This window comes from Homo sapiens, chromosome 12, assembly GCF_000001405.40.
Source record: "Homo sapiens chromosome 12, GRCh38.p14 Primary Assembly".
Taxonomy (NCBI): domain Eukaryota; kingdom Metazoa; phylum Chordata; class Mammalia; order Primates; family Hominidae; genus Homo; species Homo sapiens.
The window spans coordinates 131,608,129-131,631,608 of record NC_000012.12 but is presented as its reverse complement, the minus strand read 5'-3'; the positions used below and the strand labels follow the sequence as shown (position 1 = coordinate 131,631,608).

At 55.3% G+C, this 23,480-nt stretch overlaps 4 annotated features.

Annotated features, from left to right (window-relative positions):
* Positions 5,974-6,729: an enhancer, noted in NCBI's record as "OCT4-NANOG-H3K4me1 hESC enhancer chr12:132109425-132110180 (GRCh37/hg19 assembly coordinates)". NCBI's record gives its function as "activates a minimal SCP1, AML or CMV promoter by ChIP-STARR-seq in naive and primed H9 embryonic stem cells {active_cell/tissue: H9 hESC(naive and primed)}" and the evidence as "EXISTENCE:reporter gene assay evidence [ECO:0000049][PMID:30033119]".
* Positions 7,486-8,241: an enhancer, noted in NCBI's record as "H3K4me1 hESC enhancer chr12:132107913-132108668 (GRCh37/hg19 assembly coordinates)". NCBI's record gives its function as "activates a minimal SCP1, AML or CMV promoter by ChIP-STARR-seq in naive H9 embryonic stem cells {active_cell/tissue: H9 hESC(naive)}" and the evidence as "EXISTENCE:reporter gene assay evidence [ECO:0000049][PMID:30033119]".
* Positions 13,023-13,523: an enhancer, noted in NCBI's record as "H3K4me1 hESC enhancer chr12:132102631-132103131 (GRCh37/hg19 assembly coordinates)". NCBI's record gives its function as "activates a minimal SCP1, AML or CMV promoter by ChIP-STARR-seq in naive H9 embryonic stem cells {active_cell/tissue: H9 hESC(naive)}" and the evidence as "EXISTENCE:reporter gene assay evidence [ECO:0000049][PMID:30033119]".
* Positions 13,524-14,024: an enhancer, noted in NCBI's record as "H3K4me1 hESC enhancer chr12:132102130-132102630 (GRCh37/hg19 assembly coordinates)". NCBI's record gives its function as "activates a minimal SCP1, AML or CMV promoter by ChIP-STARR-seq in primed H9 embryonic stem cells {active_cell/tissue: H9 hESC(primed)}" and the evidence as "EXISTENCE:reporter gene assay evidence [ECO:0000049][PMID:30033119]".

Genomic DNA, 23,480 nt, shown 5'->3' with positions numbered 1-23,480 from the left:
CCATCCATCCATCCATCCATCCATCCATCCATCCATCCATCTTTCCATCCATCCATCCATCCATCCATCCATCCATCCATTCATCCATCCATCCTTCCACCCATCCACCTATTAATCCATTCTTCCATCCTTCCACTCATCCATCCGTTCATCCATCCTTCCACCCACCTACGCATTCATCCATTGTTCCATCCTTCCACCCATCCACCCCTTGTCCCCCATCCATTCATCCATCCTTCCACACATCCACCCACCTACCCATTCTTTCATCTAGTTCACTGAGCACATGCTGTGGGCCAGACTGCATGCTGAAGCTGGGGATAGAGCCATTAGGAAGAAAAACAAGGTCCCTGAATTCCTGGACTTAGCTCTGAGTCAGGGAAACAGAGTAGCCACATACCCTTCCTTTTACTTAAAAAAAATCAATTCCTCATGGAGAAAACCATATTGCAATAATAACACACACCTAAAATTTAAAAAATTCCCGTAGTCTGAGCAGATATGTAATTTCTTCTTCTTCTTCTTTTTTTCCTTGAGACAGAGTCTCGCTCTGTCACCCAGGCTGGAGTGCAGTGTTGTTATCTTGGCTTGCTGCAACCTCTGCCTTCCAGGTTCAAGCAATTCTCCTGCCCCAGGCTCCCAAGTAGCTGGGATTACAGGCGTGCGCCACCACACCTGGCTAATTTTTGTACTTTAAGTAGAAACGAGGTTTCACCATGTTGGCCAGGCTGGTCTCGAGCTCCTGACCTCAAGTGAGCCACCCGCCTCGGCCTCCCAAAGTGCTGGGATTACAGGCGTGAGCCATCGCACCTGGCCTCAGATCTGCAATTTCATTTGTCCATATTATTTTGTGATATTTGTCCACAGGACCATTTACTTTGTAACAAGTTTGTACCATTATCATAAATACAAACAGATGGTCCGATGGGTCAACACAGGAGTTTTTGACTTTATGATGATGTGAAAATGATCTGCTTTCAGTAGGAACCCTACTTTGATTATCTATACAGCCATTCTTTCACTTACAGTGCAGTGTTCAATAAATTACAGGAGATGCTCAACACTGTATTATCAAATACGCTTTCTGTGAGATGATTTTGCCCAACAGTGGGCTAACGTCATGTTCTGAGCATGTTTAAGGTAGGCCAGGCAAAGCTATGCTGTTCCATAGGTTTGGTGCATTGATGCATTTTGACTTAGGACATTTTCAATTTAGGAGGCGTCCTCGTGACACAGCCCCACTGTAAGCCGAGAAGCATCTGGATTGTAGTTGACGTCTTCACTTCTCATTGCAGCCCTGCCCCACTGTAAGTCGAGGAGCATCTGGACTGTAGTTGACGTCTTCACTTCTCTTTGCACCCCTTGTGTGTCCGGCACAGGCTCCCAGGGCCGGGAATTCTACTCACCCTGCGCGGCAGCTGCAGAAATCCCACAGTGCCCAGGGACCACCGTGTCTCGGCTGCCCTCCCACGGGTGACATCTGGGTCACTATTCCCAGTTCTCAGCCACCATACACAGCACAGCCACAAACACACGTGTGGGCATGTCCTTGCGTGTTTGTGGCTCTTTCCATATGATATAAGAATTAACTTCAAGGCCCCCATTCTGATAAGTTCCTCAGTCGGTACAGGACACCCATCCTAGGCTGACCTCAGGAGACTCCTCTGAGGAAGTGATGTGTGGAGAAACCTGGGGAGAGCGGAGGAGCCGGCTCAGGAAGCTTCCAGACCCGGTGAGCTGCAGGTGCCCAGTCCCTGGGCCTGGCAGGAGCGTGGCGTGGGGAGAACAGAGAGGAGGTGAGCAGGGAGGCCCCATGAGTCGGGGTGTGGCAGGGCCCTGGGGTTTATGATAGAGCTCATGGGGTCTCTAAATGCGGGGAGAAGCCGTGTGAGGGCTGCACACAGAGGTGGCCGCACAGAATGGGTCGGCACAGGCCCCTGACTGAGCGCTAGAGAAGGGGGCAGAGGGAGGGTGGGTCTGGAAGCCTTGCAGGAAGGAGGTGGAGCTGTGAAGACGGGGCAACGAGGATGGTGTCAGGTGCCTTCAGGACACAGGATCTGCGGCTCGGTGACTGTTGGATGGGGAGAGGAGACGGGCGTCCAGCACGTCCCAGGTTTCTAGTGTCAGCGTTGGGAGGCTGCAGGCAGGATACTGGAAAAGTAAAGCATTCCAGGAGGGTCATGAGTACAGCTGGGACTCGAAGAGGCTGAGGTCCTTTGAGATGACCCAGGAGCTGTCGACAAGGCAGGGCCAGGGCCAGGGCCAAGGCCAGGGTGGAGATCAAGGGGTGTCAGCAGAGGGGCAGGGGCCACACTGGGGGGCTTCCCAGGGAGCAGGGTCCCGGGATCAGCAGGTCACCCTAGGAGGCCTTGTTGAGTCTAGCCTTCAGGGAAGCTGTTTCTGCGATGCCCCAGGCACCTCTCAGCATCGCACAGGGCAGGGCTGTCCTTGAGTTCTAAGTCCTGGGACCTGGTGTTCAAATTCAATGGACTCAGATGCCCCACAGAGCCCATGTGCCCAGCCACGGAGGACGTGGGGTCTCTGACCACAAATGGGGCACGGCCAAAGGGCACCCGGCTCCCCCTCAGCCTGTCACAGCATGAGGTTGGGGGTAGAGTGGTCCTGCAGCCCTCAGCCCCACCCCGCTGGTGTGGAGTTGGGAGGGCACAGGAATGGGAGGGCCCAAGGGCTGAGGACCAGCAGGTGCAGAGTGAGGAGGGGCTGAGGCGTCCAGGATAGAGGGAGGCCGGGCTGAAGGGCGGCTGGGGGTGGAGAGAGGCCAGCTCCTCACACGTCCGCCCCCCAGGTGTTTGAGGCGCGTTCGGTATCCATCTTGGCGGACCTTATTCTGTGGCCATGGTTCTGGGAGGATGGAATCCTGAGGTCCGGTGTGCGGGGCCCCGAACAAAAGCCCCACGGTGTTCGGGGCCAGGCTGGGTGTGGGATGAGCACAGGAAACGGGGGCACAGTTGCGGAGGGAGCCCAAGGAGACCATGGACTTGGCAGGAAAATCCCAGGCAGGGCCCAGGCAGGGCCCCTGAGTCTGCGGGACCCCGAGGCGGGCGCTCCCTCAGGGACCACCCAGGGCATCAGCATGGCCGCCTAAAGTCCTAAAAATACCTGCCTGAAAGGAGCCTGCAGTCAGCTCCCTGGTCTCCCTTCCCTGTTATGACTTCCCAGCTCCTGTTTTTCCCAGGAAGGACAACCCCCCCCATCCCGAATCCCCCAGAGGCACGTCCTGGGAGGGGGCGCAGAGACCGCAGGGCGCCCTCCAAATGAGACTCCTGAAATTTCCCAATCCATTTCCACAAGGTGTACTTTCCTTTAAAATAACTCTAAAAATTTGAATATATTAATCACATAAATAAATAACACACACCATATTACATATCCCATATGTCAATATTTACACATGCATTATGTAAATCGATTTATGCCGTATATTTATATAGATGTAAGCATGTATATGCGATGGAAATGTACACATGACATAATATAAATATTTGATTCCTCATGTTGTTTGGAAGAATTGCCTGTTACTAAAAATGGGACCATAACTGGATCCAGAAAAGTATTTTAACACTTGGAGCTCTTTAGACACAAGAATTACGTTGCTATTTAAATTTCAAACACGTTTTTTGTTGTGGGGAATGTAATCTGGCAATTAGTAAATACTTCCAAGCATTGAGTACTCACTCCATGGAGAAACGGGATGCAGTGAACTGTGAATTGGAGTAGAAAGGATGCTGTGGTTTTCCCTCTGTACATTTAAGTGTGGATGGGGAGAAGGGAGTGGCTGTGGTCTCGGGTGGATGGGGTGAGGGGAGTGGCTGTGGTCTCGGGTGGATGGTGAGAGGGGAGTGGCTGTGGTCTCGGGTGGATGGTGAGAGGGGAGTGGCTGTGGTCTCGGGTGGATGGGGAGAGGGGAGTGGCTGTGGTCTCGGGTGGATGGGGAGAGGGGAGTGGCTGTGGTCTCGGGTGGATGGGGAGAAGGGAGTGGCTGTGGTCTCGGGTGGATGGGGAGAGGGGAGTGGCTGTGGTCTCGGGTGGATGGGGAGAAGGGAGTGGCTGTGGTCTCGGGCGGATGGGGAGAGGGGAGTGGCTGTGGTCTCGGGCGGATGGGGAGAGGGGAGTGGCTGTGGTCTCGGGCGGATGGGGAGAGGGGAGTGGCTGTGGTCTAGGGCGGATGGGGAGAAGAGAGTGGCTGTGGTCTCGGGTGGATGGGGAGAGGGGAGTGGCTGTGGTCTTGGGTGGATGGTGAGAAGGGAGTGGCTGTGGTCTCGGGCGGATGGGGAGAGGGGAGTGGCTGTGGTCTCGGGCGGATGGGGAGAAGAGAGTGGCTGTGGTCTCTGGTGGATGGTGAGAGGGGAGTGGCTGTGGTCTCGGGCGGATGGTGAGAGGGGAGTGGCTGTGGTCTCGGGCGGATGGTGAGAGGGGAGTGGCTGTGGTCTCGGGCGGATGGTGAGAGGGGAGTGGCTGTGGTCTCTGGTGGATGGGGAGAGGGGAGTGGCTGTGGTCTCGGGCGGATGGGGAGAGGGGAGTGGCTGTGGTCTCGGGCGGATGGGGAGAGGGGAGTGGCTGTGGTCTCGGGTGGATGGGGAGAGGGGAGTGGCTGTGGTCTCGGGTGGATGGGGAGAAGGGAGTGGCTGTGGTCTCGGGTGGATGGGGAGAAGGGAGTGGCTGTGGTCTCGGGCGGATGGGGAGAGGGGAGTGGCTGTGGTCTCGGGCGGATGGGGAGAGGGGAGTGGCTGTGGTCTCGGGTGGATGGGGAGAGGGGAGTGGCTGTGGTCTCGGGTGGATGGGGAGAGGGGAGTGGCTGTGGTCTCGGGTGGATGGGGAGAGGGGAGTGGCTGTGGTCTCGGGTGGATGGGGAGAGGGGAGTGGCTGTGGTCTCGGGTGGATGGGGAGAGGGGAGTGGCTGTGGTCTCGGGTGGATGGGGAGAGGGGAGTGGCTGTGGTCTCGGGTGGATGGGGAGAGGGGAGTGGCTGTGGTCTCGGGTGGATGGGGAGAAGAGAGTGGCTGTGGTCTCGGGCGGATGGTGAGAGGGGAGTGGCTGTGGTCTCGGGTGGATGGGGAGAGGGGAGTGGCTGTGGTCTCGGCGTTACTGGAGACACTGAGGATGGGGCAGTTTCTAAAATATCAATGTTCATAATACATGGGGAATTACATTTCTGCAACCATGTCCTTATATTTTAAATGAAAGTACTTGATGTGAACAAGTGAGGAGATAAGAGTGAGGGGGTGGCGAGTTCGTGGAAATGGTTTAAAGCCCACCAGCATGGAGGTGGTGGGGGTGCCTCCAAGCACAGGTGGCAAATCCCGCAAGACAGGAGCAGCAGTTAAGGGGGCCGTGGGTGAAGTTGGGGGGCGGCTGATTACGGAGGAGCTTGTGGTGGGTGGGATCCTGTCCTAGCCCAGACCCAGGGTCTCGGGAGGATGAAGGACAGCAGATGTGGGGGGTGGGGCCGCTCCCGCAGGTCTGGACAGATCCAGGCTGCCAGGGCTGAGTCGGCCAAGGCTGTGGGGGCCCCTGTGTTACTGAAACCAAAGACGATTCTACCTCCCCAAGGAAGGTACAGGAGCCCAATGGAGTTCGAATCTTCCCTGAGCACCACACTCTTTAGAAAGCCCAAACACAAATTCTCTCCCTATTTTAAAAACTTCTTCCACTTTCGGTCCCCTAAACACGTCCTTAGCCTACCTTCTGGGGACTTTTCCACAGCGTGTTAAAGGTTTGGGACTTTCAGGACAGTGGGAAGACATCGCAAGCTGCGTAACAGAGGAGTGGCTATTCACCTGTTGTACCTTAGAGAAAACGCCACACTTTGAGACGAATTAAGAGTCCGTTTATTTAGCCGGTGGTCAAGAGACGGCTAACGCTCAAAGTTCTCTTGGCCCCGAAGAAGGGGCTAGATTTTCTTTTATACTTTGGTTTAGAAAGTGGAAGGGGGTCTAGCTAAAACAATTTTACAGAAATAAAGTAGGCAAAAAAGTTAAATGGATAAATGGTTACAGGAAAGTAAACAGTTCCAGGTGCAGGGGCTTTAAGACTATTACAAGGTGATAGACGCGGGGCTTTGGGCGTTATCAATCGGGTGAATTCCTGGGAACTGTGGATATTGCTCGCCACAGTATCTTATCAGTTAATTGCATTCTTGGATGTGCTGGGAGTCAGCTTGCACAAGTTAAGTCCTTGAGGAAGGGACTGCCAGTGAAAGAGCCAAGATGGAGTCTGTCTGGCTCTCTTAGCCAAGGGAGAGTCTAAGAACAGGGTTAGTAAAAACAAGGTTGGGCATTACACACCCATAGAGTCATTTCCTGGACATTTGTGAGGCTTAGGATGTGCCAGGCCTGGGGCCAAACACCTGCTGCACTCTCTCCTGAAGCCGACAGAGACCCTAGACAGCAGGTGCTGTCCTCAGCCCCTTTCTCCAGATGAGAAAACCAAGGCGTGGACCTGCCCGAGGCCCCAGCCAGCACCTCAGCGGGGCTCCTGGGTCCTGGAGTCCTGGGTCCCGGCCAGGCGAGCCCAGAGCTCTGCTCTGAGCAGACACAGCCTGCTGCTTTTCCAGGGTTCTGGAGTTAGAAAACAATGGACACACGCTGTGAAAGCTGCTCAGCCCTTTGTCTTTGAAATGGCACCGATGTGGCCGGTTCTGGGAGTTCCTGGGGGAAACAAAGTAACTTAATCTTCCAGAGACTCAGTGAAACCTGAAATAGCTCTGGTCTCTCCACGAAGTTGGACAACTTCCATCCAATTAATTACCAGAACAAAACACAGAATCAGAAAACATCTTGGATTGCAAGAGTCGTTGGCAATACAATTTAACTCTTTCCACCTCTGGAATTAGAAATCCCATTAACAGCCTTTTAAGTTTGAAACAGCTGATTCCAGCTGAGCCTCATTAACTAGCAGCACCCGCTGGCTGTCTCTTCTCGGGGCTCCTAGGGAGAAGCACAGTCACTCAGAAAATGAGGCCAGGGTGATGAGTGACACAAATGGGCCCACAGCCTGGGACACAGGGGACATGTCCACATCCTGTGAGAGCAAGGCACACCCAGCTGTCTTCCCATGGGCATCTATGAGCCCCTCTGTGCACTGGGCTTCCTGGCACTACCCTCCCTGTGGAACCTGGCCGGCTGCCAGGAGAAGCTCAGTGGGCATCATGGGTGCTGGGCAGGGCCTCCCATCTGCCAGAGGCTTTTATGAGCCCTGGGTGACAGCAGCCTGGGAGTCCTGGAGGGGACAGCTGAGGGGATGTCTCTGCTGCAGGCCACACCCCTGGCTTATCTGGGAGTCCCCTGCTCCCTCGCTCTGTCCACATGGTCTGGTCTGGGTGGGGCTGACTCCACCCCCAGGTCAGGTGTGCTCCTGTGACCCAGACCTGTGAGAGGAGAACATTCCATTCTCATGGCCTGGGCAATGGGTTCCGGGGTGGGCACTTGGCTGTGACCCAGACCTGTGAGAGGAGAGCATTCCATTCTCATGGCCTGGGCGATGGGTTCAGGAGTGGGCACTTGGCTGGACCTGCTTGGAGAAGTCAGTCGGCTTCAGTGGACTTAGCCCCAAGGAGATGCTGGCCTGGGAGGGCCCTGGACACAGGAAATCAGAGCCCTGAGGTCATGCCTGAGCTGCAGGATCACGCTGTGCCTGAAGCTGTCCCGGCCTGAGGATTTCAATGCATTTCCTCTGGTGCCTGGGCTGGTCTGGGGCTTCTCTCACCCCCAGAGTCCTGACTCCTGAGCGCCCCCTGTGGCCTGTGCAGAAGAGGGTGGTTGTGGACACTCTCCCACCCAGTGCAGCCGCCTGTGGCCACCCTGAGGACAGTGACATGGTGCTGAATTCACCTCCTGTGTGATGTTGGGACCCTGCTCCCCAATGGGGGCCTCACCCCCAAAAATGTCTCTGGAGTCTTTGGGGTGCTGCTGTTGACACATGAGATCAGTCCTGCCATCTGATCTGGCACTGCTGCTGGCACTGCTGCTGGCCCTGCTGCTGGTCAGTCAGCTCCTGGCCACCGTGCTGGGGTCTGAGCCCCATGGACATCCCGGGGTCCTCAGCCCAGACCCAGGAGGGACACAGGGAGTAGAGTGGGGTGATGCCCCCGTCACCTCCCGAGGCCCCGGGAGTGAGTGCCGGGACCCTCTGTCCTAACCCTCTGCCTCCCTGGGTGTTAACCCACCTGGGCAAAAGTGCGTGGTTCAATGCCAAGGCCAGGGCCATGGGCCCTGCGTTTCCCTGCAGAGTCCCTGGGCTTCTTGGCCCATCACAGGCTTGAGGATCAGCACCTGCAGCCCGTGGTGGTTGTTTTCTCATCTGTAAATGCGGATTTGGGCTTTAGAGCTGACTCTTTGTCACCGAGAGCACAGCCTGTCTTCTCTGTTCCTTTCCTTTGTGACTCAGAGGCCCTCTGCGCCTTGGTGGGAGGAAGAGGAATCATCCTTGTTGCTGACCCCCTGCGACGGTGCTGGCTGGACGGGGTGTGCATCGTGCCAGGAGCTGGTCCCTCATTCATCCTCACAGCAGCCCTCCCGGGCTCGCCCGCCGTGACTTTCACTCCCATTTCACAGACGAGGACCCTGAGGTCCAGGGAGGCTGAGTGGGCTGCCCTCCCCAGCTGGAGCCTGGAGGGGATTTGAACTCGGGCCTCAGGGCAGAGCCTGTCGCTGTCTGGGCTGGGCTGAGCTGACTCCCCAGGGCCGTCAGCTCCACTGCATCCTGACCACCTGGGAACTGTGGTCAGCACTTTCCAGGCTCAAAGGCATGGCTGCTTACAGCGTGCCCGAGGGTAGGTGCCATCGTCCTCACCCTGTGCACTCACTGTGCCCGTCTTTGCTGGGTGAGGGCCCTGTCGGGTCCTACTCTGGGCACTGAGGTACAGAGGGCGGCCCTCCTGCCCTGCCCCGGGAGGGTGCTGGTCTCCACCAGGACACAGAGGGAGGTGGGCGAGGCCACAGCCCAGAGAGGGAGGGCAAGGTGGCGGGGGTGGGGGGTAGAGGGGTAGGACTGACGGTGGCAGTGATAGCAGTGAACCCCGGGTGAGGAGAGGCATGGACTCCCCTGCATATCAATGGGGAGCCACAGAAGCTTGTAGAGGAAGGTCATTCTGCCCCGGGTCCCCCAGGGAGCTGGGGCCTCAGCTGTCTACCCTAACAGCTGGGCCTTCTGGCCCCTCCTACCCTGAGAAGTGTGGCCTCTGTTTTTGGTGAGGTCACAGCTGCAGGGAGGGCCAGGGGGCCGGATGCCTCAGACTGCAAACAGCTTCGCCCAATACCCCCTGTTGCGGGGCAGAGGCTGGAGCTAGAAATAGCCCCGCAGTGACCCCCACCCCAGCCACACAGGGCAGGCCTCCTGACCACAGGTCCTGGGCCACCCCTTCCTGCTCACGTGGGAGGGAACCCTGGGCTGGGGGAGGCTGTTCCCCAAACAAGGCCACCTTGTGTAGCTCTCTGAGGGCCTTTTATAATCTCCTTCCCTCCCCCAGGACAGCCCAGCTGCAGCCCCTCCTCACCAGCGACCCCTGGGCCCTTTGCCTCGGGGCCAGGCAAGCGGAGAGCAGAGAGCAGTGTGTGAGGAGGGAAAAAAGCCGGACTACAGGGACCCCAGCCACCCGCCAGCCCCTACCCTGCAGCCTCTCCTGCCAGAGGCCGAGGCTCCTGAGCTGCCCCGTGCAGGGAGTGTGGCCAGGCGAGGCTCCGTGGAGTGCAGGAGCTGCGGCAGCAGGAGAGCCAGGAGGAGGCTGTGGCTCTTGCCCAGGCAAGCAGACATGCCAGCTGTACGCAGTCCTGGGCCACGTATCGTGTGTGGTCTTAGGAAATGTGAGTGTACACTTGGTGCGTGCCTGTGTGTGCCCATGTGCATGTGTGTGTACACAGCCTCAGCCCACATATCATGTGTGTGAATTCAGGAAACGTGTGCGTGTGAGTGCATGTGTGTACATGCGCGTAGGTGTGCATGTGCCTGTGTGTGTTCTCATGTACACAGCAGAGCTGTGGGTCTCAGCCCCCGCTGCAGGCTGGAACCCCCTGGGGGTGTGGTGGATCTGGAACTTGGGAAGCAGCCCGGCAGCGTCGCCCAGAGCTGAAGATCCACTTACCCCGACCCAGCAGTTCCACTCCGGGGTGTCTGCACCACAGACAGGGGCATGTGTGTTCACCAGAAAGTGCTCTTAGCGGCACCGTTCGTGAGCGCCAGCCTGGAAATTGCTGCAATGCGCGTTAATCGTGCAGTGGGCACGTGAGCGGGAATGGCCATGCTGGGCCTCCCTGTCCAGGGGAGCCCTGACCCCCTCTCCCCTGCCCCGGGGAGAGGCTGAGGAGCAGTTTCCAGGCCTGGGAGGGATCTGGCCATCCTGGGAGTGACTGGGGAGGATGGAGAGTGCTGGCTCAGCCCACAGTGACTGCACAGCTCTCCCCGCCGCCTCCTCCTCCAGGAACAACAAGGGCCCTTGTGTCCGCCTCCCCCAGGGACAGTGCCCCAGTGAGGAACAGAGCCTGGCCTGGGAGGTGGCCCCAGGGCAGGCCTGGGTCCCAGCGGTTAAGTCTGGCCTCAGCCCTGGGGCTCTGGGCGGGGCTGCAGTGAGGGGATGGCGCTCTCGGTGCACCAGACTGGAACTTCTGCCCCCTCCCCGGATAGCCAGCTCTGCCACCCGCTGAAAAGGGTCCCTGGGCTGTGGACAGGCACCGTATCATGCTCTGCTATGTGGTCCTGAGGGGGACAACAGATGTCCCTAGGGTCCGTCCAGGACTCACCTGCCTGTCTCTGTATTTCTCTGCCAGGTCACCCCTACTTGGTGCACGTGATTCACAGGTGGGAAGCCACGCCTCCCAATCAGCATATTTCATACTGTGGTCCTGGGATTGGCTCAGGCATGGCCATGTGACCCAAGCTGGTCCAATGAGAATGTGCCCGGGACTTTTTCTGAAACCCCTGGGGAAGGGAGGCTTTGCCTCGCAGTTGCTCAGTTAAGAGGAGCTCTCTGAGGGCCATTTCCAGGCCGCCTTCCCCCATCAGGGACACAGGCAAAGTGCAAGAGCCCTGAGGATTTCCAGGGCTACAAAAATGTTTTAATTTCTTTTAAAATTAGAAGAAAATATGAGCTCTTAGGTCAAAGAAATATTAACCTATTCATCTTTGTACCAGTTGTAAAATAGAAGCTTAAAGGTGATTTTATGGAGGAAGGAGCCCACGAATGCAAAAGGGCCCAGGGCCCATGGAAGCCGCGTGCAGCCCTGTCTCTGCCGCCGCACAGGAGGGGGCCTGAGATGAGGATGGTGAGCTGACGGCCAGGGCCGGGTGAGGGTGACGCCCGGGCGGTGCCAGCCATCCACAAAGTCCTGCTGTGTGTGTACTGGCGTGGGCAACCTCATCAGAGCCCCACGGCACCTCACCATGATCGTTTCACAGACGGGGAGAGCGGGACCCAGAAAGGTTAAGCAATGCCACCAAAGCCACACTGCTTGAAAGTGGGAGAGCTGGGTCTTGAACATTGAGTTTGGCTGCGGAGTCTGAGCTGGGGAACCGCTGAGCTGCTTTCTGTCTGAGGGCAGGGTTGAGCCTGGGCCTGTCCTGATGCTGCCAGCCCCTTCTTAGGGTGCTCAGGTGAGGGCGTTGGTGAAGCCCCCTTTCTGTCACTTGCCTCCAAGACAGCCCAGATGACACACATGTGGAGCAGGGGCAGAGGAGAGCTGGGCAGTGGCTGCACCAGCCAGGAAGCAGATCCTGCTCCGCCGGGATATCAGACTATGTGGGCTCTGCAGCATTCACGATCCTACACTCCCACTCTGGGGTCTGGTGAGTCCTCCCCCTGCAGCAGGAGAGCAGGCTTTCCCAGAAGGTGAGCCCCACTGCTGTCCAGATGTGTGATGGCAGCTTCCTGTGAGGAACCAGACATTGTCCAATTGTGGGGGGTCTGGCTTCTTGGAGGTTTGCAGAGTGTGGCAGGTGTGGAAAAACTTGAGGCCAAGGAAAGTCCTTTCGAACAGGATTAAGCAGGTGGCATGTTGGTTGTGGTGATTCCAGTACTGTGTGCGTGTGTGTGTGTGTGTGTGTCTGTGTGCATGCACGTGTCTGCACATATGCATTCATGTATGTATGTCTGGGTCTGCGTGCGTGGGTCTCTGTGTGTGCATGCATATGTGTATATGCATTGTGTGCCCATGTGTGTGCACATCTGTGTGCACCTGTTGAGCCAGTTCTGTGAGTCCCCCTGAGGGCCAGGAGGCCGTGGGCAGGGCTGGTCCTGGAGAGCACTTTGTTTTCTTCTCCACACACTTTGGGTTCCCCCGCTGAGTGCACCCCCTGCATTTGGCTGGCTGCTTTCACCCCAGCCCCGCTCCTCCTGTGCCCAAGAACCTCCTCCTCGTCTCCTCCTCTGTCACGCAGCTGGTGCAGCACACCAGGCCTGCACTGAAATGCATCGGGGAGCAAAAGGGAGGTGAAGTCAAACATCCCATCTGCTCCTGTCCACGTCTTCAGGGTCACTGCCAAGTTCTGACACTGCCGACTCCCCACATTGAGGGCAAACAGCCCCCCCGAATGCAAATCTCACTCCTTGTTTGCAGTCACTGAGAAATTCTTTCTGGAAGATGTTTATTGTTTCTCCTTCGCTCTGCAAAATCATCAGTGTAGAGAGGATGTCTTAGGAGTTTCCAGAATAAGGAAACGAAGGAGCAGCGACTCATGTGGGTCCTCTTGGGATGGCTGAATGGAATGCAGAGAGGGGAGGAGAGTGGAAAATAGAGCATGCATTTTGAGAAAATTTCGAGCAGTTTCTCAGAAGCCTTGAGCCTTGGAGGAGGCAGAAAGGGAAATTATTTTCAGCTTTGTGTATGCTGTTTTCCGAGGATAGCACTTGTCTATCAGAGGCTGACTTCCTGAAGACTTTATCTATCAGATTAGAAGCCTGTATGAGAGCCTAGGTAAAAATGCAAATTCCTAGGTCCCAGCCCAGACCCTGGGATCAGAATATGGAGTGTGAGAGACCCAGGTTCTTGCGTCTCTGCAGCCTCCCACGTGATTCAGATGGTCGCTAAAGTGGGAAGACCAGGCTCCTGAAAGAGCGGATGGCATCTGCGCAGTTGAAGCATCGTTTGTCCATTCACTCATTCAGCAAATGTCACTGAGTCTCTTGAGGTGCCAGCGCTGTCTCTGGTGCTGAACCAGGGCCCCGCGCTCACGGCATTCACCTTCCAGTGGAGGAGACAGCTTGTATCTGAGGGAGTCCCCCAGCAGTCAGAAGGGACACGACGGGTTAACTGAAGAGGGCTTAATAAAGGGCAGGGGTCGGGACCGAGGCTGTTTATGCCAAGATGGCAAAACCCAAGAGGTCTGTGGGTGGCGACGTCTGAGACTCTAGCGGCCGCCTGGAGCTTCCGAGGCTCACCAAGAGCAAACCTGAATTGCTTTCCAGGCCACATGTCCATGAACAGCACGTGCAGAAGCAACACCCGGAGGCCTCTCCACTCCCCAGGGGCTGGTGTGGGAGGCGGCCGTGGCACCAGGAGCTGCTGCATCCTGCAAGTGCACTGCCCGGTTATTAGTCATGGATGGCATCCAGAATTTCTCCAGCATACTTGGGCCCACCAAATAGTCACAGCAGCACAAACGGCCCAGCAAATCAGAGGCCCTGAGGGACAGGACCCAGAGCTGGGAGGGTGCACAGGACAAGCCTGGCTCCCTGCGTGCCTGGAGGGTGGCTCCCTCGCCCTGGCCACTGTAACTCCGACTGCCTGTCCTGGAACACGTGCCTGCCATGGTGTGAGGGTACACAGGGTAGCCTGAGCCCTACCTGAACTTCAGAGACCAGGGGCACGGGGGGATCCCTGGGCTGATATCAGAAACAAGGGCATCGGTGCTGGCGAGAAAGTAAGGGGAGGCCCCGGCCCCCTGCAAAGGATCCCGTGAGCCCCCAGGTAGCTGCTCCCAGGACATGGCACTTGGACCCCCTCATCCTCACAGTCTCGGACCCGACTCCTCCACGTAGCCAACACCATAGGATGTCAACAGTGTCTTTAAAGCTATGAGGCTCCCAAACAAACTCTCCTCTTCCCGCCCCAGTCGCCTCCATTCCCAGGACATACTCGGAGCTCTCAGGCAAGCGGGACTGCTGTGGTCCTCAGCCGACAGTCCCGGGGTGCAGCCAGAGACCACACTGCAGCCTCAGCCCTCTCCTGCCTGCCTCCACTCTAATCTCCACTCCGCATGGTGCTCTGTCCGACGAAGGAAGTGGCTCGCTGGTCAGGAGAAAGCCCACTCCAGGCCGTGCATTCGGGAGCTTTCCATGGAAGGAGCCGGGTACGCAGGTGGACGAGCAGGACATCAGCCAGAGGCTGGAAGACACTCCAGGGTCTTGGCAGTGGGAGCCTCCAGGGCCCTGAAGGTTTATTTGAGCCACTGTGCAAGGGGGCTGGTGCCTGGCTCCATGTGGAGACCTCCCCTTCCCCCAGGACAGAGCGAGCTCCTTCCTATGGGATTTCCAATAAAGCTCCTCACAACTTAGACGAGTTTCTAACCTAGGGGATTCATCATTTCACTAAAATGTATTTACTGAGTACCTACTGCATGCCACGTGCCATGCCCGGCATGAGAAACAGAGGAACAAGAAGGGCAGGACACATCTGAGGAGCCTGTGTCCTGGGAGGCGGACAGGGTGGGATCCAGGAGCAGGACCGGGCCTCATGACTCCTGGCTGGGAGGTGGACAGGGCGGGATCCAGGAGCGGAACGGGGCCTTGTGACTTCTGTTTGGGAGGCTTGAGCCACAGAGGAGGTTGGCGCCACCTTCTCTGGAGGGAAGGCAGAAGGACAGAAGTTTTGGAGGAATCACGAGTTTGGTTTGGGCCGATGCAGGTTCAGCAGCCATGAGGGCCCTGGATGGGTCCGTGTCTCCTCACAAAGGAGTTGTTTATGACTCCAGTTATGCACCCATGAGTAGCATGAGAGCTATACCAAGGTCTGTTTCCCGGCTACTGTGAACCTGGGGGGTTTCTGGTGAACGGAGCCCACACTGACGCGGGGCAGAAACACACGTTCCATCGTTCTGAGCTGAAAGGGGGCAGCCTGGACAGAGCACATGGTGGGGAGAAGCCGCTGTTCCCTGCTGTGCCGGGCTGGGGTGACTGGCGGTTGATAAACAGCCCCGCTCCTAACAAAGAGCCCTGGAGCGGGAGCCGGCACAGTCGACGTGCCATTTATCTTAAGGCTTTCAGGGAGGAAAAATATATTTAAAAAAAAGCTCCTGGGAAATGGACAATTATTAATGAAACTGTTTTATCAGTGACTTCACTCATTTGCCAGGCAGGGAGATGCTGACATACAAGAGTGAGGCCAGGTGGGCTTTGGAGGGGGCTGAGAAGGTGGCCAGGAGCACAGCGTGCCCTCTCAGCTGTCAGTGGGTCTGCAGGCCCCAGACGCCCTCTCTGAGGACAGCGTTGGGAGTAAGGGCCGCCATGAGCTTCATTTAATTCACCTGACATCTGGGGAAGCCTGGGGGTGGCTTGCAGAGCCCACACTTATGACAAAGGGGTGTTGTGGGACCACAGGCTCTTGGTTCCCTAATCGTTCACTGGAAAGTCAGTGACATGAGGCAGATTGAGTAAGAGGAGAAAAGCACACACATTTATTTACTGACCATGTGTGCCTGGGAGCCTTCAGAATGAAGATCCAACCCAATGATGAGGTACGGAAGCTTCCACACCATCCTGAGGCACAGCAAGGAAGGCTGAGGACTCTAAGCACTGCCAGAAACAGGTCATGCTGCAAAGTCAGGCTCAGTGGCAAGACAGGGAAACAGCGGGAGAAAGGAAGAGGCTTGGCTAGCACAGGCAGCCTTGTTATGGAGGTGAAGCCTCCCTTGGAGAGGATAGACGGGAAGTGTTTCTTTTCAGACTCTTAACAGTGTCAGACTCTCAATCTCTCCCAAATCTGGGAAAGGTACAGAAAGTAGAGGGGGCCTGGCTGCATTAATGGAGATTCTCTACAGGGGCCTGTGGCAGCTGTTTCAAATTATGTCAAGCAAATGTATTTTGGGGTTACATATTTTAAATTCCTCCAGCATTCTCTGCAGTTCTCTGCTGGTGCAGATGGCTCTGCCTGTGGGCTCAGGCAACAGCTCAGACCTCAGGAGTGCACGGGGCGGCTTCTTCTAGGAGGCTCAGAGGTGTTGATGAGAAATGCCAAACTCTAAAATATTTGAAGAGATGTATTCTGGGCCAAATGTGAGGACCATGACCTATGACACAGCCTCAGGAGGTCCTGAGAACATGTACCCGAGGAGGCTGGGTTGCAGCTTGGTTTTATACGTTTTAGGTAGACATAAGACATCAATTAATACATGTGAGGTGTACATTGGTTTAGTCTGAAAGGTGGGACAACTGGAAGCAGGGTTGGGGGCGGCTATAGTAGGTCATAGATGGGTTCAAAGATTTTCTGATTGGCACTTGGTTGAAAGAGTGAGGTTATTATTGAAGGACTTGGAATCAATAGAGAGGAATGTATGGGTTGAGATGAGAGGCTGTGGAGACCAAGGTTCTTATTACGTAGATAAGTCTCTCAGATGACCACCCTTAGAGGAAAAAGGTGGCAAATGTTTCCTATTCAGACCTTTAAAAGATGCTAGACTCTGGAAAAGACCTGGAAAGGGCACGGGATTCTCTACAGAATGCAAATTTCCCCCACAAGAGACAGCTGTGCAGGGCCATTCCAGAAATAAATAAACAGATTTTTGGGTAAAATACTTAGATTTCTTTCAGGGCCTGCTATCTCTCATGTGACAATTTACTAGATTCGGGTTGGAATTTGGTATCTTTTTTTTTTTTTTTTTTTTGAGACGGAGTCTCACTCTGTTGCCCAGGCTGGAGTGGGTGGCATGATCTTGGCTCACTACAAGCTCTGCCTCCTGAGTTCAAACAATTCTCCTGCCTCAGCCTCCCAAGTAGCTGGGATTACAGGCACCGGCCACCATGCCTGGCTAATTTTTTTGTATTTTTAGTAGAGATCTCCTGACCTTGTGATCTGCCTGCCTCGGCCCCCCAAAGTGCTGGGATTACAGGCGTGAGCCACCGCACCCGGCCTGGAGTTTGGTATCTTATTGCTACAAAGAGTCTCTTTGGTCAGTCTTAAAAATCTGTTTTAATGTTAACGCTGGCCAGTTGCGCCAGAAATGCCAAGGGAGGAGGGTATCATGAAGCATGTCTGAACCCCCTTCCCATCAGGGCCTGAATCACTGTTTTAGGTTTACTTTGGAATGCCTGTGGCTGAGATGGGGGGTCCATTAGTTGGTTGGGGGCCTTAGAATTTTATTTTTGGTTGACAGAGGTCAGCAGTGAACACATGGCTTCCCAGACCAAGTCACCCATGGATGAGAGGCCTGCTGCTGCTGGAGGGTGATGTTCTCACTTGGTCTGGAGGTAACACAGGCAGCCTCTCTGCATGGAAGTGTAACTAGTGTCAAAAGAAAAACCTTAGACAAATTAAATTTAACAAAGTTTAATTGAGCAAAGAACAAGTTGCGAATTGGGTCATGTCCAGAGCCAGAGTAGGCTCAGAGGCTCCAAGGCAGCCACATGGTGGAAGATTTATGGACAGAGAAAAAGGAAAATGACCACAGAAAAGGGAGTGAGGACAGAACACGCTGGGTCGGCTGCAGCTGGGACAGAACCCACCGGGTCGGCTACAGCTGGGACGGAGCCCGCCGGGTCGGCTGCGGCTGGGACGGAGCCCGCCGGGTTGGCTGCAGCTGGGCATTTGCAGACCTCAGTGGCTGGCACGAGAGTAGGGTAGTCTGTTTACACATCCACTTAGGTTTCAGTTCTCTATGTACAGAGAAACCTTTAGGCTGAACTTAAAATATGTAAGGAGGCAGCTTTAGGCTAAACTTAATTTAACACCAGGGACCTCAGTTTTAAAAATCACATACTCTCTTTTTCTTCCCTCCCTCTCCTCTCACTCCGATTCCTTCCCTCTCCGGACACTCCCCTGTAGCAATGCACACTCATCTAATTAGATTCTTGCTTAAGAAATTGCAGAGGCTGATCTCAAAACAAACCGGGCACTGAGCCCCCATTGTGGACTCTGCTGCTTAGGGGAAGTCATGACCAACGTCCACCACCACCGGGCCCAAGTCAACATGGCACCATCCAGACCTCCGTCCACCCAAGACAGCCACTGGGGTGAGACACACAGGCCCTGCACCCCGCGTGGCTCCCGTGTCACGTTTCCCAGCTCCCCGTGGCACATTTTAACATTTAAGATGGTGCTTTAGAACACCAGTTCATCTTCTTGGCTTGTTGGCTTTCCGATGAAAGCTGCTTTCCCTCCCACCACCCCTTGGCCCTCATGTCTGGCTTTTGAGTGGTGAGCCGTTGAACCTGGGTTACAGAGGGTCCAGGGCCCAGCTTGTCCCTGAGGTTCAAACCCAGCAGGCCCCAGGCGGCTGTCACCAGGGACCCAGCTATGGTCTGAATGCTTGTATCTCCCCAGACGCATCTGTGGAAATGCTAACCCCCAAGGTGATGGTGTCAGGAGGTGGGAACTCTGGGAGGTGATGAGATTATGAGGACTGAGCGCTTTTTCTGGGGTTAGTGCCCTTCCAAAAGGGACCCTAGGAAGCCCCCAATCCCTTCCACCATGCAACAATGTAGTCAGAAGGCGTCGTCCATGAACCAGGAAGTGGTCCTCATCAGATGCTGACTCTGCCAGCCTCTAGAATGGTGAAAAATAAATTTCTGTTGTTTCTAAGCCACCCATTCTGTGGTTTTGTTTCAGCGGCTCAAATGGACTGACCAACACGGATTCTAATGTGGCTTCTCGGGGTGGGGGGCCGCGTCCCATCCCTGCTCTGTTTAAACCCAGGGCTCTGCAGCCTCGGCTGCCGTGGTCCACATGGGTCCCCTCGAGGGCCACAGTCCACCCAGGTCAGCCTGGGCAGAGGCCAGAGAAGGGGGCCGAGGCGGGGGAGAGGTGGGTGAAGAAACACTGGGCGGTCCATTGGTGACAATCGGAAGACCTCGCTGATGGCAGGGGTCCCTGGATTCTTTGAACCAGGGGACACGCGGCAGACCTGGCCACTCCCCCTACATGGCAGCAAGTGCCGGGCTGGGCAGCCACCCCCAGATGCTCACTCCCTGCGGGTCCCATAGCCTGCACAGGTGCCCCACTGGTGCCACACCCCTGAGTGTGGGCACGGGGCCTGTGCCCTTCCCTCTGCTCCATGTTATCAGCACAGTGTGGATGAGTGTGGGTCCCGAAGTGCAAAATGAGAAAATCTTCCCCCAGTGCTGTAGCTCCACCCAGCCCAGCGGTAACCGGAGAGCCAGCGGCCCTGCAGCAGGACCCTAATGAGAACTGCGCCTGTGGCAGGAAGGACACCTTGGGCTGTGTGTACACGTGTAGACAGGACACGGGGACATAGACGCTGGATTCCTGCTAACATCACAGCCTCAGGCCCCAGGCAAGAGAGGGTCAGGTCAGGTCCCCAAATGAGCAATTAGAGAGGTTACTTTCAAGTGGAGAGCCAGTGGCGAAGTAACTTAATTCTGCAAAGTGTCGTGACTCAAGACTCAGGCAGGTGGAAGGAGCGGGTGGGCGGCTCACAGCGGAGTGGGGAAGGGGCAGGATCCCCACGATGTCAGCGGCCAGGTGGGGTGGAGACCGAGGGCAGGACCCCACCCCAGGGGATTTTTCCAGGGTCTCGACAGCACCACAGGCTCACCCCATCACGATTTGGAATACGTGGCCCTGGGTTTCCTCTGGGCTGGTGGGCCATTTGGTGGGGCACAGAGCCGGAAACAAGTGCACCATGGATCATGTGGCATGGCTGCAGGGAGGACAGGGCCTGGGGGGCACAGAGCCAGGGCACAGGGAGCCTGGGCCTTCTTGTGCAGGTGGGTGGGGCCATGCTGGGCAGGGGGAGCAGGCACCCCTGCCTGTACAATGGATTGGCACAAAGGACCCCTGAGTGGACTCAGCCCACGTCAGAGCCGTTTCCGGGCAGTTGGGTGCAGGCTGGATGGAACCCCACACACCACGTGTGGACTCAGCCCACGTCAGAGCCGTGTCCGGGCAGCTGGGTGCAGGCTGGATGGAACCCCACACACCCCGTGTGGCTGAAGGGTCTCTGGTTGGCTTCTCTCTGCCCCAGCCCACGTGAGGCACAGTCAGCATGAACTGTGGGGCCTCCGCTCTGCTGAGCCCCAGGGCTAGGTCTGCAGAAAGCAGAGGCTCATTTAGACCCCAAACACCCAACTACCCAAGGCACCAAGACTGGTTGGCTGCAGAGGAACTGAGACCCAGAGTTATTTTTAATGAGTGAAATAGAGGAGACGGCTTCGTCTCCGTCTTCCTGGCCCAGACACTATCTCCCTCCCATCTCCACTGTGCACACCCGAGCCGCAGGCACCATGCCCTCATTCCACAGGCACTCCAGCCTGCCCTGTGAAGGCTGCTGCTGCTGTAGCAGGTGCCTTGGAGGCTCTGCCCTGCCCACATGCCGCTCCTGTTCCAAGAAACAGCCCACAGCCCGACCCTGCAAACTAGCCAGCCTGCAGTGCGGCCCACATCTCCAGGAATCTGCTGTCCACTGGCGCCTTCCGCCACACCTCCGCTGTTCTTGAGAGCATCCTTGGGCTTCAACTTCCCCATACTGTGCTGCAGATGAAGTTAGTTTCCTTGGGAAGAGACCTGGAGCCCTCACTTTTACCCTCCCCTGGGCAAAATCCCTGAGCCTCCACTCTGGAGCTGGAACTGTGTGTAGGGACATTGCCCGCTTCCTGCCAGGTGTCACCATCCTGTCCCATCTTAGGGACCCAGGACTCTATCCAGCAGGCTACGGTGTGGGAAGGGATGCTGTTTAAACAAGAAGGCAGAGGAGCTGGCAAGCGGGCCCAAGGGGTGTCCAGAGAAATGGGAGGAAAACCAGGAAAGTTTAATGACAGAAAAGGCAAGAAAAGAGAGGGTGCCAGGAAGAGGAGGCCGGCTGCCCCCGCTCTCCCTTGCAGGTGGCTTTGTCATCTTTCCTCTGCTGGTCTGACTTCTCTGCCCCTCTGTCCATGAGGCAGAAGGTGCTCCCCACCCAGCACACAGCCCCGAGATTCCTCATATCTTGCTTACGAGGCAGGCTCAACCCGAAACAAGACTCTTGGCGCCCAGGCCAGGTGGCCAGGGAGAGGCCTGCTTGTGTCAGAGGTCATCAAAGGTCCAGTCAACTGTGCCCTGGAGGGTGTGGCCTCCTCATAGACAGGTGGGATCTGGGACCACTGCGGGCAGCCACTCTCCAGCTCCTTCAGACGAACCTGCTCCAACGGACCCAGTGTTGCCATGGGCTATAAAACGGGGGACACTCCTGTCCCACTGCAGCTCTGCAGGCTCTTGATTAATTTCTGAGGTTGACCATCAGAAGCTTCACATTCGTGGACGAAGACAGAGAGGGCCTCCACCAACAGGGCTACAATGTTGTCTTTTCATGCCTTGTTCCCTACCCGTTGGGCAGGTGAAGCCACGGCTGTTTCTTTCATGCCGCTCTTAAGGCTATGGGAACACAAGGCCCACATCTCCTGTTTTGTAGCTGAGTTCTCTAAAGCTTTCCATGATGGCCCCACCGCCCTTCTCTCATGATCAAAGGTGCCAGCGTCACCAGCCGCTTCCCTGGGATGCCCTGCATTGCTGCCAAGGAGCCAGGGATGGCTTGGGGCCGCCTTCCCACCAAAACCCCACAGCGAGGTCCCCAGAGTCTCTCATGGTTTGCTGCAGGCAGCCACATTCCTGCCTCCAAGTACTGATTTTTGAGACAACAGAGCACAGCATTAGGCTTCAGATGGATTAGCTAGGTGCGCTAGCCTTCCTCAAAAAGCTGCTGGAACAGACAGTATTGCATTCATGTTAATGGCTGAGTAGTACCCCTTGGTGTATAGACACCACGTTTTCTTTATCCATTCAGTAGCCGATGGGCAGCAACTCGGACGGAGCTGGGGGCATTATTCTAAGTGAAGGAACACAGGCGTGGAAAACCAAAACCACATGTTCTCACTTGTCAGAGGGAGCTAGGCTGACTACGCGAAGGCGTACGGAGTGATGTAATGGGCTCTAGAGGCTCAGAAGGAGGAGGGCGGGATGGGGCTAGGGATAAAAAGACCTACACGCTAGGACAATGGACACCCCTTGGGTGACGGGGGCACTAGAATCTCAGAATTCACCACCACACAATTCATGCATGTAACAAAAACCACCAAAATGCTATCGAAGTAGAAAAAAAACCTGTAAAATACAAAAAACAAACCAACTTCTTTTTGTTTGGAAAATCAACAAATTTGATTTTCCTGTTGTGTCTCTGACCACAGCCTGTCTGGCGGGAGGAGTCGGTTGCAGGCTGAGCAGGAAGGGCGGCCCCAACCTCCCCCTGGAGGCCCGTCCTGGAACTGCGTGTTTCTGTTCCCGCAGAACCACAGAAGCCACGTGTCAGAGTGAACATGGGGTGTTGGCTTGGCTCCCCCAAAGATTTTAAAAGCAGAAACTCTCCAAGCAAAATATCTGCGTTGTCTATGGTGGAACTTGCCTTAGTGATGTTGCTGCATTCGCCAACACCTGCTCCATATCAAAGACAAAATAGTGGTGAGGAGGTGTGGGGATACGAGAGACAATATCCCAAACTGGGCTTAAACATAAGTGATCACACATGGTGTGGCGCTTTCACATAAATTATGCGCGTTTCCATGGAAACAACGCAGAAATCAGACGAAGGCAGTACATGCCAAATATAAAGTATTTAATTCTAAACAGTAACAGATTTTAAACTGTTTATTCCCAGAATTGCTTCAAATGGTCACATGGCAAAAACAAATGCCATTAATGTGTTTTTGCTTCTCTCTCATTTGTCCATTGCATTGATTTCCTATGAAATGTAAATAAAACAATTAAAACAAAATTGATATCGAATGCAACTGAAGAGAAGTAAAAATCGCAAGCCCCAGTGGTATTTTTAATCAGAGCTAACCCATCATAGATGAAAATTAAGGAAGAATTTATGCTAGGACTGTAATGTTACTAACTGAGGACCTTCAATTCTTTATTCACCTATTTAAATGATCTTTGCTGGACATTTCTAAGAGTGAAATTCTTCATTTACAGTTTCTACCGCTCAATTTTGTAATAAAACAAAAATGTCAGACCATCCAGACACATGAAAGAGCCAAAATGAAGTATCCCACAAAGACTTTTGGAAGGTAGAAAAACAAACAAACAAACACAATTCATCAAAAAAACCCCAACCTACTGATGTTGAGAGAAATCACAAAAACAATCTGAGGATGGATGAATGACAACCAGCCCCTCCTAACCTCCCAACATGGTAACTATGATAAATTACCACCGGTGACAGTGACTCACCCTCCACCACTGCTGGAATCCGTGGCCTATACACAAAAAAGTCTGGAAAACAACTTGAAGGACCATGTGTGTGAGAAAGAAAAGGAATTCTGTGTGTAGG